Consider the following 15,976-nt stretch of genomic DNA (forward strand, 5'->3'; position numbering starts at 1 on the left):
TAATTTTTTTTTTTTCAGTAGAGACGGGTTTTCACCATGTTGGTCAGGCTGGTCTCGATCTCTCGACTTCAGGTGATCCACCCACCTCAGCCTCCCAAAGTGCTGGGATTACAGGTATGAGCCACCGTGCTTGGCCTATTTTTTTTTTTTTTTTAATTACACCACACCTATCATTTGAGATTGAAAGAAAAACTAAACTGAATACATTAGCAATACATTTAAAAGCTAGACATCTTTTGGATATGTACAAAATCAGAAGGCTCTTGTAGTCTTACCAGTTTAAAAAGGCTACCTGGCTGGACACGGTGGCTCACGCCTGTAATCCCAACACTTTGGGAGGCCAAGGTGGACAGATCACCAGTTCAGGAGTTCGAGACCAGCCTGGGCCAACATGGTGAAACCCCCATCTCTACTAAAAATACAAGATGAACCAGGCATGGTGGCGGATGCCTGTAATCCCAGCTACTCAGGAGGCTGAGGCAGGAGAATCGCTTGAACCCGAGAGATGGAGGTTGCAGTGAGCTGAGATCGTGCCACTGCACTCCAGCCTAGGCCACAGAGCAAGACTCTGTCTCAAAATAAATAAATAAATAAATAAATAAATAAAAATAAAAAGGCTACCATACTCAGATAATACTGAATGTAGGGACATTTTCATGAGAATTTGAATGCTTCTGCTCCCACTAGTTTGAACTTGGAATTAAAGATGTCATTATTGGAAGGGTCCATGAAAGTTCTCTGGACTAACTACCCATTTCATAGTTTGAATAAGCCAACAGGCTTATTAAGCCATAGAGTGAGGCCTAAATGTAGATACCTTTACCAATCAAGTGGATTTTAATTCGCATTTTCAATTTAACATGGGTTGGTTGTTTTAAACAAGTGATTCTATGATCATTAAACTAGTCACACAAAAAGTATTTTATAACTCTTAGATGCAAAATTACAAACAAATGCCTGACCTAGAAAGTTTAGTCTGATTTTGTTGGAGAAAACTAATAGCTTTGAATTCATTAGGTTAACACTGACCTTTGTGTTAATTACATCAGGAGAGGGAGATCTAGATTGTTTTTCTTGTGTAATCTGCTGAGCTGTGCTATACCTCTTACAGGATTTGTCATGAAGAATTCAAATGAGAAGAAGGAATTAAACCCTCATCACCCCATCAGTTAATAAAATCCTTCATAGTTAGAAGCCTAGATATTTATTACTTTAAAACCCATAAAAAACAAACAAAAAAAAACCAGAGGCTGTCATAATAGTCTGAACTTCTTAAAACTCTACTCCCTGCCCTGCAAATGTAACTTCATTAATTCTATTGACATGGTAAAGAAGGCAGCATGTGAATTCAATCTTTTTCTCTTCGCCCTTCCTGCAATTCAATCTTCTCTTTGCCCTTCCTGCAACCCAACATGTCCCTATAAATATTTTTTTTTTTTTTTAGACAGGGTCTCGCTGTGTCACCCAGGCTAGAGTGCAGTGGCACAATCTCGGCTTACTGCAACCTTTAACTTCTGGGCTCAAGCAACCCTCCCACTTCAGCCTCCTGAGTAGCTACGACTACAGGTGCGTGTACCACACTCAGCTCCTTTTTGCATTTTTTGTAGAAATAGTCTGTCTGTGTTCCCATGCTGATTGAAATCTCTTGGGCTCAAGCGCCTCGCCCTCCCAAAGTGCTGAGATGACAGGCAGGGGCCCTGTGGCCAGCCGAGTATGACTCTTAACTATTCAACTGAAGCAGTATCCTCACCTTTATATCTGTACCAAAATGCAGTCTGGGAAAGAAAAATTTTATTGTAACATAATAGCTATCCTTTATGATTTTGAATACATTTAGTTATCTCAATGACCTCACTGAAGTTACTGTATTATTAGCTATCATTTTATAAACAGAGGAAAGGAAGAGAAGGAGAAGCTGAGAAAGCTTGTTGGAAGTGGAGCCAGTATTTGAACTGAGCAAGCCTGACTTCACAGACTGCACTCTTGGTCACTAAAATAACTCTCTATGAGATTTCTTTGTGGTTGGCCACACTGGATTGCACAAAGCACAGGACAATCAGCTACCTTCTTTTTTGGAACCCATACCAGCTCTTGATGGAGTTGGAAGTGGAAAGGACAAGAAATCAGAAAAGCCAGCAAGATACATGCAGCCAATTGCCTTTTAGTATCTTCTTTCCCTGAGACTACATCATTTAGGGAATGGTTCTCTAACTTCAGCAAACATCAGAATCTTGTTGAAACACACATTGTTGGACCCCACACCTGTTTCTGGTAGAGGGTGTCCAGGTTCTTGGCATCTTGAACAAAGAATTGGACAAAATAAAGCAAAGAAAGAATGAAGCAACAAAAGCAGAGATTTATTGAAAATAAAAATACACCCCACAGGGTGCGAGCAGGCCCAAGCATAAGGGCTCAAGGGCCCTGTTACAGAATTTTGGAGAATTTAAATACCCTCTAGAGGATTCCATTGTTTACTTGATATATGCCCTGTGTAAATGAAGAGGATGCAGTAAAGTTACAAAGTCATTTACTCACCATATGCCCTATGGAGAGGATATTTCCTGTCATAGCTGACGCGTGAATTGGCCTTAGGTTCCCTGCCTCTAGACCCTATTTTCCTGCCTCATCTCCCCACTGAGAGATGTGATCCCCATAAATCTTTATGGGAGGAGGAGGGACCTATGGTCTTTCTTCTGTAACTGCTACATGCCGGCTTGGGGTGTAGTCCGTACCTACTGGGGATAACAGAACTCTCTCTTTGCTCTGTCTAGTGGAGGCAGGGTAGCTTGATGGCCATGGGTGGTTTCTTCACCTGGAAGTGGCTGGAACCTTTGTTGCATAATCAACGGAAACTTCATAGTTTCTAGGCAAGAGGAAATGAATTTAACTAAAAGATTTAGGCGGGGAACAGTAGCTCACACCTGTAATCCCAGCACTTTGGGAGGCCGAGACAGATGGATCGCCTGAGGTCAGGAGTTCAAGACCAGCCTGGCCAACATGGTGAAACCCTGTCTCTATTAAAAATACAAAAAAATTAGCTGAACGTGGTGGCAGGCGCCTGTAATCCCAGCTACTAGGGAGGCTGAGGCAGGAGAATCGCTTGAACCCAGGAGGCAGAGGTTGCAGTGAGCTGAGATCGTGCCATTGCACTCCAGCCTGGGCAACAAGAGTGAAACTCCGTCTCAAAAAAAAAAAAAAAAAAAAGAAAAAGATTTAATGGGAACTTCATGGGGTGGATACCAATGCTGTCAGGAATGTTTGTTATAGACATTTGCAGGAGAGGGCCGGGCGCAGTGGCTCACGCCTGTAATCCCAGCACTTTGGGAGGCCGAGGCAGGCAGATCACGAGGTCAGGAGTTCGAGACCAGGCTGACCAACATGGTGAAACCCCATCTGTACTAAAAATACAAAAATTAGCTGGGCATGGTGGCGCACAAGCCTGTAATCCCAGCTACTCGGGAGGCTGAGGCAGGAGAATCGCTTGAACCTGGGAGGCAGAGGTTGCAGTAAGCCAAGATCGTGCCACTGCACTCTAGCCTGAGTGACAGAGCGAGACTCTGTCTCAAAAAAAAAAAAAAATAATAAAATAGAATAAAATAAAATAGGAGAGATTTGCAAGAGAAAAAAAACCTGACTTGTTCTAGAATCTATGTGTTTCTTTAAAGTCTTAGCACAAGCAACTCCATTTTGGTTTGGTTTGGTCTACTGGGGCCTAGTGCATGAGCTTAGTCCAAAACAATAGCCTCCCAGAATTTTGTTTAAAAAACCCCTTTTGGGGCAGGTTCTCACTTTGGTGAGAGTGTGACCAAAACTTAGGGCCTTAGTGCCACTCTCAGTTATCATCATCTTGGGTTTCCAGTCTTAGCACGTCATTTATAGGTTATGATGTCTTCCTAGTTGCACATTTTTTTCTTTTTTTTTTTTTTTAATTTTTTGAGACGGAATCTTGCTCTGTCGCCCAGGTTGGAGTGCAGTGGTGTGATCTTGGCTCACTGCAACCTCTGTCTCTCAGGTTCCAGCGATTCTCCTGCGTCAGCCTCCCAAGTAGCTGGGATTACAGGCGCTCACCACCACGCCCGGGTAATTTTTGTATTTTTAGTAGAGGATGGGGCTTCGCCATGTTGGCCAGGCTGGTCACAAACTCCTGACCTCCGGTGATCCTCCTGCCTCGGCCTCTCAAAGTGCTGGGATTACAGGCATGAGCCACCACACCTGTCCGGTTGCATATTTCTTTCAGCTCCTGTCATTCCAGTTGAAGAGAGATCATATGACATTCTAGAGATGGCTGCATGCAAGCGTTTAAAACCTTTGAAAGAATACAGCACACCAGGGAGACTATTATTATGACCATCGGGAGGATAATACCAAGAGTTCGAAGTATGCTCCTTACCTGAGGTTCCCATAAACCAAACCTCCTAAAATCAAATTGATCAAAGAATGGCTTAACTAAGCAGTTTCTTTGTTAATCTGCTACAACTGAATTTCTTTCTTTTTTTTTTTTTTTTGAGACGGAGTCTTGCTCTGTTGCCCAGGCTGGAGTGCAGTGGCGCGACCTCCACTCACTGCAAGCTCCGCCTCCTGGGTTCACACCATTCTCCTGCCTTAGCCTCCCGAGTAGCTGGGACTACAGGTGCCTGCCACCAAGCCCGGCTGCCAGGCTAATTTTTTTTGTATTTTTTTTTTAGTAGAGACAGGGTTTCACCGTGTTAGCCAGGATGGTCTCAATCTCCTGACCTCGTGATCTGCCCGCCTTGGCCTCCCGAAGTCCTGGGATTACAGGCGTGAGCCACCACGCCCAGCCTACAACTGAATTTCTATAATACCTGATGTTTTCTCCAAAGGCCATGAGTGCCAGCAGCTGCACAGATACTTCTCTGTTCAGCTAATCCTATCATAACTTTCACAAGAGAATACAAAGGCTGTTGTGTAACTGTAGCCTTTACAGTAGCATCTGCGTAGGCTGGGAGTGGTGGCTCACGCCTGTAATCCCAGTACTTTGGGAGACAGTGACCGGCAGATTACCTGAGGTCAGGAGTTCAATACCTGCCTGGTCAACATGATGAAACCCCGTCTCTACTAAAAAAAAATACAAAATTAGCCGGGCATGATGGTGCGTGCCTGTAATCCCAGCTGGTCGGGAGGCTGAGGCAGGAGAATCACTTGAACCTGGGAGGCAGAGGTTGCAGTGAGCCGAGATCATGCGGTTGCCCATTGTACTCCAGCTTGGGCAAAAAGAGTGAAACTCCACTCAAAAAAAAAAAAAAAAAAAAAATCTGCTATAGAGTCTATTATGGGGGATACATTTCTAATTATTGCCTTTTTTACTCTAAACTATGGAAAAATGACCTAATGAATGATGTCCTAGAAGAGTGAAGGCCTTCCAGGAATGTTCTCTCTAGACCATAATGCGGGTTAATAGGAGTTAGCCAATGTTCTGTTTCTGACTGATCATGAGGCAGCATATGTACCATTAAAGTTTGTTACCTACATTGGGCCGTCATTTTTTTTTTTTTTTTTTGAGACAGAGTCTTGCTCTGTCACCCAGGCTGGAGTGCAGTGACGAGATCTCGGCTCACTGCAACCTCCACCTCCTGGGTTCAAGCCATTCTCCTGCCTCAGCCTCCCAAAGAGCTGGGATTACAGGCGCCCGCCACCATGCCTGGCTAATTTTTGTATTTTTAGTACAGACAGGGTTTCACTATGTTGGCCAGGCTAGGCTGGTCTCTAACTCCAGACCTCAAGTGATCCACCTGCCTCAGCCTCCCAAAGCTCTGGGATTACAGGCATGAGCCACCATGCTTAGCCTTGGGCCTATTTTTTATCTATCAAAGTATAAGGTTATCCATGTATAAGGATGGCTGTAGACTTCTTCAAAAATAAAAGTATACCCCATAAGTGCGTATAACAGACCCCTTTCCACTTTTATTGTTCGTAGAGGCATAAGCAAGAAAAAAATATTCAGAGTTTCATGATAGAAATCTTAATCTGTGAACGTGGGAAAAGTTGTTCACATCAAGGATGCCATCTTCTTCTGAGGAGAAACTTCCCTGGTTAGTCTTACCCCAAGGGTTCCAATGGATGCACAGCTCCAAGAGCGTGGAGGGACCCTTCTTAGCAGTTCAAAGTTCCAAGGTTTTGTTGTAGTGCGGATGGCAAGAATAGTTTTTCTTTAATGTTCTCAGAAGATTCAAACCATAAAAAGCTTTCTTCCCTGGTGAAAGTACACTGTAGCATAATAATTTACCATTGTAACATCAGCCCTCTTGCATGGGAGAGCTTGTATACCACCAGAAAACATACATTGAAAATAATAACTGAATGAAATCCCTTTATAAAATGTTTAAGGCCAGGCGCAGTGGCTCACGCCAGTAATCCCAGCACTTTGGGAGGCCGAGGTGGGCGGATCACGAGGTCAGGAGATGAAGACCACGGTGAAACCCCGTCTCTACTAAAAATACAAAAAATTAGCCGGGCCTGGTGGTGGGCACCTGTAGACCCAGCTACTTGGGAGGCTGAGGCAGGAGAATGGTGTGAACCTGGGAGGTGGAGCTTGCAGTGAGCGGAGATTGCACCACTGCACTCCAGCCTGGGCGACAGAGCTGAGACTCCGTCTCAAAAAAAAAAAAAATGTTTAAAAGGCCCATCAGGTGACCAAATATACCTGAAGCTTTAATTGTTTTTTCCAGGAATATGGGATCAAACATTAGTTATAAACTATTTTAGTAACTTACAAGTCACGACACCAATGTATTCAATTTGGATCATTTTATCTTTTCCATGATGAGTCATGGGATGCAGAACTATTAATAATAAAATCTTTAAGAACTCAGGAATGACAAGGTGTCCATCCTGGTTCTCCATGAGTCCATGCTTAATTAACATTAGACTTATATCCTCTTGAATACCAGTAGTTTTTCCAAATTAGGTGCATAGCACTGATAACTGATGGGTTATCATGGGCGATTTGACTTAGACCATGGAGTTTATTTAAACTGTTTGTTTGTTTGTTTATTTTCGAGATGGAGTCTTGCTCTGTTGCCCAGGCTGGAGTGCAGTGGTGTGATCTCAGCTCACTGCAACTTCCGCCTCCTAAGTTCAAGCAATTCTCCTGCCTCAGGCTCCTGAATAGTTGAGATTACAGGCCCACACCACCATGCCCAGCTAATTTTTGTATTTTTAGTAGAGATGGGGTTTCGCCACATTGGCCAGGCTGGTCTCGAACTCCTGACCTTGTGATCCACCCACTTCAGCCTCCCAAAGTGCTGGGATTACAGGTGTGAGCCACTGCACCCAGCCTAAATTGTACATTTAAACAATTTTAGTATCAGCAGTTTAACATGAAAATCTGACAAAGTATTTCCTTGGTATTTAATTAATTTTTTTGTTCTACTTGGGTTAGTAGCTTTATGCAAGGAAATTTGGTTATTTCTGTGGTTTACAATAACAACATAATAACCATAATTATAATTGATAGCATATACTTAGACATTAGAATTTTAGAAATCCCATACATATTGAGTATACTCAACACACTTAAAGTATCAAGAAGCCTAAAATCCAAAAAGTTAGTTTAAGGTTAAAAGGCTAAGGCCGGGTGTGGTGGCTCACACTTGTAATCCCAGCACTTTGGGAGGCCAAGGAGGGCGGATCACCTGAGGTCGGGAGTTCCAGACCAGCCCGATCAACATGGAGAAACCCCGTCTCTACTAAAAATACAAAATTAGCTGGTCATGGTGACGTATGTCTGTAATCTCAGCTAGTCGGGAGGCTGAGGCAGGAGAATCGCTTGAACCTGCGAGGCGGAGGTTGCAGTGAGCCGAGATGGCGCCATGACACTCCAGCCTGGGCAAGAGCGAAACTCCATCCCCACCCCCCACCAAAAAAAAAAAAAAAAAAGTTAAAAGGCTAGCGTGCTCCATTAATTGCTGTGGGCCCGACAAAGGTAGCTTAGGAATTCCAGATAAATGGAACAAATGGTGGCTTGCTAGAAATGCATAGGAAACAAAATAACTATCCATAGAACCAAATTAGATCCTTATCTATATTTTTTTAAAAAGTTGCCAAACTGCTGATGCATTTCTCTACAATACTTCTTACTTTACTTTTATTAAGACTAAGAGCTTTAACTGTGAAAATGTTAATTAGCCAAATGTCTCCAATTCTCTATTAGGTTTTAAAGAATATTTTATTATACAAACTTTTCCCATAGTTTTCTCCCCTACTTAATGATTCCTTACTACATCGTTCCATAAATAACCTTTCCACATCTGTAATTTGAACTAACTTTTTGTTTTTTGTTTTTTGTTTTTGAGACGGAGTCTGGATCTGTTGCCCAGGCTGGAGAGCGGTGGCGCGATTTCGGCTCACTGCAAGCTCCGCCTGCCGGGTTCACGCCATTCTCCTGCCTCAGCCTCCCGACTAGCAGGGACTACAGGCGCCCACCACCAGGCCTGGCTACTTTTTTTAAATTTTTTTTGTAGAGACGGGGTTTCACCGTGTTAGCCAGGATGGTCTCCATCTCCTGATCTCGCGATCCGCCCGCCTCGGCCTCCCAAAGTGCTGGGATTACAGGCATGAGCCACCCCGCCCGGCCTGAACTAATTTTTGGATAACTTCTGAATTAGACAAAATTATTCTTTTTCTCACTAATAACATAACCCTTTCTGGCACATTTTGTAAACAGAATTATATGTTAAGGAGAATTCTTATCCTTGGTAACTTAAAACTTTTGTGAGACCCTAAAAAGCAAGAAATCCTCAACTATCAGATACGGGCATTTATACATAAGAACAATTCCACAATTTTAGAAACACATTTCCCCATATCACAACCCTTTCTTTTTTTTTTTTTTTTTTTTTCTGAGATAGAGTCTCGCTCTGTCGCCCAGGCTGGAGTGCAGTGGGCAATCTCGGCTCACTGCAAGCTCCACCTGCAAGGTTCATGCCATTCTCCTGCCTCAGCCTCCGGAGTAGCTGGGACTACAGGCGCCCGCCACCACGTCCGGCTATTTTTTTTTTTTTTTTTGTATTTTTAGTAGAGACGGGGTTTCACTATGTTAGTGAGGATGATCTTGATCTCCTGACCTCGTGATCCGCCCGCCTTGGCCTCCCATAGTGCTGGGATTACAGGCATGAGCCACCGCGCCCGGCCACAACCCTTTCATAATTGGAAATGACCCAGATATTAAATGAGCGTCAGAAATAACTCTAAAATTTTAATTTACACAAAAAGTTTACCTAAAATATTTATTCCATTCACTATACTCAATTCTTTCACTTTTTGTTTGTGTGTTTGTTTGTTTTTTTGAGACGGAGTCTCACTCTGTCACCAGGCTGGAGTGCAGTGGTGCGATCTCGGCTCACTGCAACCTCCGCCTCCCAGGTTCAAGCTATTTTCCTGTCTCAGCCTCCCGAGTAGCTGGGACTACAGGCACACGCCACCATGCCCAGCTAATTTTTGTATTTTTAGTGGAGACGGGATTTCACCATGTTGGCCAGGATGGTCCCAATCTCTTGACCTCGTGATCTGCCCGCGAGTAGCTGGGACTACAGGCACATGCCACCATGCCCAGCTAATTTTTGTATTTTTAGTGGAGACGGGATTTCACCATGTTGGCCAGGATGGTCCCAATCTCTTGACCTCGTGATCTGCCCGCTTCGGTCTCCCAAAGTGCTGGGATTACAGGTGTAAACCACCACCGTGCCTGGCCAATTCTTTCACTTTTAACAAGGGAGCCAGGAGACATCAATTAACATGTAAAATGAACATTGGTTAGGTCAGAAAGGCCAGGGATGCAGCTTGGGGCTTCCAGGTCACAGGTAGGTGTGAAAGGAATGGTTGCATTCTTTTGAGTTTCTGATTAGCCTTTCCAAAGAAGGCAATTAGATATGCATTTATCTCGGTGAGACTGAACAGAATATGAGGCAGGCCTTCCCCAAGCAGCTCCCAGCCCAAATCTTCTCTTCAGCCTAGTAATTTTTGGGGGGCTCAAGATATTTTCCTTTTATAAATTACTCTCATTCGTCAAAAGAAAGCACACAAACCAAGATTATTTTGTTTTGGCTGGGATTACAGTTTTATAACCTTCTATGCCAAACACTGACATCTCAAAATATCTAGCAAAGACAAACATAAAATTCAGACAAAATGTATGCTGACAGTTCCGAAGGCATTTTTATTTTTATTCCACCAATAATTTTAAAGCTAGCTTATATACACCATGGAATACTATGCAGCTATAAAAAAGAATTAGTTCATGTCCTTTGTAGGGACATGGATGAAGCTGGAAACCATCATTCTGAGCAAACTATGGCAAGGACAGAAAACCAAACACTGAATGTTCTCACTCATAGGTGGGAATTGAAGAATGAGAACACCTGGACACAGGGTGGGGAACATCACACACCCGGGCCTGTAGTGGGGTGGGGGGAGGGGGGAGGGATAGCATCAGGAGATATACCTAATGTAAATGACGAGTTAATGGGTGCAGCACACCAACATGGCACATGTATACATATGTAACAAACCTGCATGTTATGCACATGTACCCTAGCACTTAAAGTATTTAAAAAAAAAAAAGGGCTGGGCGCGGCGGCTCACGCCTGTAATCCCAGCACTTTGGGAGGCTGAGGCAGGTGGATCACGAGGTCAGGAGATGGAGACCATCCTGGCTAACACGGTGAAACCCCGTCTCCACTGAAAATACAAAAATTAGGCCGGGTTTGGTGGTTTACACCTGTAATCCCAGCACTTTGGGAGGCCGAGGTGGGCGGATCTCGAGGTCAGGAGATCAAGACCACGGTGAAACCCCGTCTCTACTAAAAATACAAAAAATTAGCCAGGCGTGGTGGCGGGCACCTGTAGTTCCAGCTACTCAGGAGGCTGAGGCAGGAGAATGGCGTGAACCCGGGAGGCGGAGCTTGCAGGGAGCCGAGATCGCGCCACTGCACTCCAGCCTGGGCAACTGAGCAAGACTCCGTCTCAAAAACAAAACAAAACAAAAACAAAAACAAACGAACAAAGTAGCTGGGCGTGGTGGCATGCACCTGTAGTCCTAGCTATTCGGGAGGCTGAGATAGGAGAATATCTTGAACCTGGGAGGCAGAGGTTACAGTAAGCCGAGATCACGCCACTGCACTCCAGCCAGGGCGACAGAGTGAGACTCTACGTCAAAAAATATATATATATAAATAAATAAAATAAAGAAAAATAAAAACAGGGTCACCATTGCTAGTTTTAATTCTTTCAGTTTAATTTTTTTTTTTTTTTTTTTTTTTTTTTTTTTTTGGAGACAGAGTCTCGCTCTGCCTCCCAGGCTGGAGTGCAGTGGCGCGATCTCGGCTCACTGCAAGCTCCGCCTCCCGGGTTCACGCCATTCTCCTGCCTCAGCCTCCCGAGTTGCTGGACTACAGGCACCTGCCACCACGCCCGGCTAATTTTTTTTGTATTTTTAGTAGAGACGGGGTTTCACCGTGTTAGCCCGGATGGTCTCCATCTCCTGACCTCGTGATCCACCCGCCTCGGCCTCCCAAAGTGCTGGGATTACAGGCGTGAGCCACCGTGCCCGGCCTTTCAGTTTAATTTTTATTGGATTTAACGGAAATAAGAAGGAAAGCAGAAAAAATTGCTAAACCTCAGAAAAAGGTTTTTTACAAGAAATATTAGTTCTTACAAGTTTCCTATAAAGTTAAGAAAAAAGGGATTTTAATAATACTAGTTGTTGTAAATAAGTGATTCAATTTTAAGCTATCAATTCACCCCTGCTGTGAAAGATACTGAAATCGGCACTCTCAAACCTCTTGATTTAATTATATTTGCATTATCATAAAGTCAGTGTGCAGGTTAGTGCAAGAGAAAATTCATGAACAGAAGGTAGATCTGAAGAAATTACCTAGAATGTAGCACAAAATGTTAAAAATCTAGAGAATCTGAGAAAAGACATGAAATAGAATGAGAAGGTCTGACACACATAGTATAAAATAGAGATTCCTGAAAGAAAGATAAAAGTTGGGAAGGGTTCTGTTATGGACTAAATTTTTGTATCTCCCAATTCATATATTGAAATCTTAACTCCCAATGTGATGGTATTAGCCTAAAGTGTTCAGTAACCTTTTAAGCTACTAGAACCTATCATCACCTCTGCCTTGTGCATGCTCTTTGGGGTGTGATGGTGAGGATCTATGTCACAGAGAGCCTCTGTCAGATTGGGTGTTTGAGGCTCTTGGTTTCTAGGCAATTTCTCTATGAAATTTTATTCTGTTTATTTGAATTCAAGGGTCTTTTATATCTTTAAAAATATGTAGAGTTTCTCCCTGCATTTTATTGCATTAGAAAGAAAATAGACTGATGGCATGTACTATTTTAAAGATTACTCTTAAAAAAAAAAAACAACAAACCTCTTGTCTTTTGAGGAGGGGATGTCTCTTTAAAAACAAATTTTCTCGAGAGAACCCTTGTTCTACATAAATAGATGACCACTCTCAGAAGCCAAGGAAGCAGTTGTTTCAGGTTCTTTCAATTTTCTTTCCAATCTCAACCGTCAGTGCACGGAGCTGTCCAAGGTTTTTATTTCTTGCCCTTCCCGTTCCTGACCCCTTTAATCATCACACAAACAGGCAGCAGAGACAAAGTAATGAAGAACACCAACTCTGGAGTCAAACAAACTGGGTTAGAGTCCCAGAGCCAGCATTCAACAGTTGTGTGATCTCGATCAAATCCTGTAACCTCTCTGGGCTTCAGTTTCTTCATCTATCAAAACAAGGATGACAGTAACAGTACCTAACCCATAGATTATCATGAGGATTTAATCAGTTACTCTTTGTAAAAGAGTTTATTACAATGCCTGGCAAATAGCAAAAAAGGAATTTTGGGGTTCCCTAGTTTCTACCATAAAAGAATTGTAGACATGGGTTATGTTGCTACTTAACAGTTTTGCTCTTGTAAATATTGCTCTGGCAATCAATACAGGATGGAGAGCAGGAGGAAGTAGAAAGAATGCTCGCAGAACTATGACTTAGGGTGTCTAGTCCTGGCTCTGCCATTAATCAGTTGTGTGACCCTTGCTAAGTTAACTGACCCCTCTGAACTCAGTTTTTTTTTTCTCTCTCTGTAAAAGGAAGGGCTTAAACTTCAGTAAATAACCGGTATGTTTTATTTAGTATTTTGCGAATCCCATTTCCAACTCTACGTTCAATCCAGTGACGGTATTTCTAGTTTATAAACTAGAAAAATAATCTTTGGCATCTGAGGGTCACAGCCGAGAGTATCTCCCTAGCAGGAGATTAGGGAGCCAGTGACAAAGTGGCACCAGGGGAACCGATGTATGCCAGGAATCCAGACAGAGGGTGACATTAGCACTTCTTTCTGCAGAACCTAAACCCTGCCCGACTCACCCGGAGGAGCTGTCACGGTGGTTTGCTGGAAACCCCCTTTCTGTTGGGAGGATTACTGGGTCACGGTTTCCCAAGGACATGGAAACCCTTGCTGAAGCGCTGGAACCGCTCGGCACGAGGCGTACGTCGGTGGGAGCTGTGTCAGCCCGCTTTCGGCCGTGTAGCTGCTCCCATCCAGACTCTAGAAGGGGTCCTCTTTGCGTCAGGCCCAATCACCCCCCTCCCCGAGCGACTGCACTGGGTGTCCCTGCGCCGCGCGTCCCCTCCCTCTCGCCCCTCCCTCCTGGCTGCCATAGAAACCAGCTTACAAGGTCCAGGCCGGCGTCCGGGTGCACTACAGGCCCCCCGTCCCTCCTTCCCCACGCCAGCCCCTCGCTCCGGATTGGTCCTTCAGGAAACGCTGTGGGGCGTCTCGGTCCCCGCTGCGGAGCCGGCCTAGGCCGGAGGGCGGGGTTTGCCCTGGGCCGCTGCCGGTCAGGTCGGCCGCCCCTGACAGCTCCGGGAGCCTCAAGCGCGACAGCGGCGCCCTCACCTCGGGACATCCACACACCGACCGCTCCTGCTCCAGAGGCAACAACCCAGCGCGCCTAGCCTGGCGCCGTGCAGCGAAGCCCAAGAGCTGGCCTCGCCACGAAGGTAAGCGAGGGGCTGGGGGACTCGCCGCCAGCACCCCCACCCCGCCACCCTTCCTCTGCTAGGCTGCAGACCTGGGTGGCTGAGGAGGAGGCGCCTCTCCTCCCCGCGACCCAAGGAAGAAAGGAAGCCCTGCCACGGGGTGTCTGCGAAGTGGGGTCAGAAGAAGGTTAGGCGCTTTCTGGGGCGTACCCCCACACCTGCCCAGGCCGATCCGCAAGCGAGAGGAGGGGGCATTAGAGCCAGGGCGAGAGCGTGCTCGCGCGTGTGTGCCCGTGTCATGTGTGGTGCCCGTGTCATGTGCGGCGCCCATGTCTATGTGCGCGCGTGTGTGCACCCATGTCTCTGTATGGTGTGGACACTCGTGTCTGCGTGCGCGTCCACACGTGAGCCGAGGAGCGCAGCTTAGCGCCTAGCGTTGCGCACAGCGGGTGCGCTGGACCAGAGCCCTAAGGCACCAGACCAAATCTGGAGCGTTTGTTACAAGGGCAGAAGACCGGCGTGATCTCCCCACGCGCGCCGGCCGGTGCTGCTGGTGGAGAGAACTGACATCTAACGCATGTGGCCCAGGAGAACAAAACCTTCCATTGCACCCCACGCCGCGACTCTCCCCAGCGAAAGGTGCTTCTTTTGGAAGACCGCACGAAGTAAGGAAGAGCCTCTTTTCCTCTTCCTGGATATCCCTCCAGGAATATTAGAAGCTCCAGGACTCCTTGATACGACCAGGAAAAGATCGCAACCGGGTCTTTAAAATATCGATTCCAGCCAGCTTCTGCGTGCTTGACACATCTTGGCAGATGGAGAAGTCAAGGCAATAGATAACATGGGCAGCAAAGATTCTGCTATAGCACTTCTTTCCTTTCTGTTTTTTCCTTCCCTCCTTCCCTCCTTTTCCCTCTTCTCCCTCCCTCCTTTCCTCCTCCTCCTCTCCCCTTCTCTTCTCCTCCTCCCTCCCTCCCTTTCTCCCTTTCTCCTCTCTTTTCCCCTTCCCTCCCCTGTTTTCGTCCTCCTGAGTACAGTAGACAAGAGGGCTCTCTGTCTACCCCCCCTCCCCCACCCCATTCCTCATCCCGTTTCAAAATAAGAGCGAATGAATCACATTCTAAGCTCTTACCCGTGCAGTTCTGACAAGTTTGGAAATTACACAAATCGCGTTTGCAATTGAGGCCGCGGGAATCCAAAAGGGAAACAAACGAAACCAGATGAAAAAAAGTGATTCCAAGTCAAGATTTCAAATGGAAATCTAAGGTGAATATTTGTTTATGGTAATAAGATTTTTTTTAATGTTTGAAAAGTATGTATCACACTAGCTTGCATCATCAGTATTCAATGTGATTCACAGAACCGCTTCAAAAGATGGTTTCTGTTAGTGTTGCAACAGCACTTCTAATTCTGGTTGTCATGGTTACTGAAGAAGTCGCCCTGCTCTATTGAGAGGCTGTCTAGTTAGAAGCAGGAACTGTTCTCCAGAGGACCTTCTCTTGTACCCTCGTTGTCACCATGGTAATAATTGAGTTTATGAAAATGTACTTACTTTTTCCCTTAAAGTACTAAAATCCCAAGGCATGTTGTTGTTTTTTTTATTTTATTTTTTCAGAGTTTGCAGTCCATGCAACACAGCTTTCCGCTCAGACAAATGAGAGTAAACACTGCCCTCCAGCAAGTTAAATGGCCCCAAATAGTCATGCTGCCCAGCTCTCTTCCCACAGCTCACTGCACGAACAGAGGACAGAGGAGGGTGTTAGATGTTCCACGAATCCTGGCCTGAGCCCAGATCGCCCTCGCCATTTAGCATTTACATTTGGAAGCCTAATTAGCTTTCTAATTAGGAGATGGGAGAATGTAGGGGGGGATTCCTGCGAGAGGCTAGTGGGGAAAAAGCTGAATCCAACTCCCCATGGACTGGTGTTTGGTGTGCCATTGAATTTGCCTAGTAAACCCTCATGGGTTTA

General features: G+C 45.2%; 1 protein-coding gene across 2 annotated transcripts in view, besides 2 other annotated features; it reads left to right on the top strand.

The window, feature by feature from the left end:
• Positions 13,682-13,821: a silencer, noted in NCBI's record as "silent region_15992". NCBI's record gives its function as "represses an Ori minimal core promoter by ATAC-STARR-seq in GM12878 lymphoblastoid cells {active_cell/tissue: GM12878}" and the evidence as "EXISTENCE:reporter gene assay evidence [ECO:0000049][PMID:35858748]".
• The window catches only part of NIM1K (NIM1 serine/threonine protein kinase), an 88,626-nt gene continuing 86,490 nt past the window's right edge, over positions 13,841-15,976 (top strand). The window contains exon 1 of one of the 2 annotated variants that reach the window (NM_153361.4): positions 13,841-14,027. The gene's annotated coding sequence lies outside the window, so the exon portion shown is untranslated. Of the gene's footprint in view, positions 14,028-14,467; positions 15,273-15,976 lie in introns of those variants that run through there. The other variant, NR_072980.2, reaches the window with a different exon arrangement.
• Positions 14,157-14,866: an enhancer, noted in NCBI's record as "H3K27ac-H3K4me1 hESC enhancer chr5:43192643-43193352 (GRCh37/hg19 assembly coordinates)". NCBI's record gives its function as "activates a minimal SCP1, AML or CMV promoter by ChIP-STARR-seq in naive H9 embryonic stem cells {active_cell/tissue: H9 hESC(naive)}" and the evidence as "EXISTENCE:reporter gene assay evidence [ECO:0000049][PMID:30033119]".

The sequence above is a fragment of the Homo sapiens genome, chromosome 5, assembly GCF_000001405.40.
Source record: "Homo sapiens chromosome 5, GRCh38.p14 Primary Assembly".
Classification (NCBI taxonomy): Eukaryota; Metazoa; Chordata; class Mammalia; order Primates; family Hominidae; genus Homo; species Homo sapiens.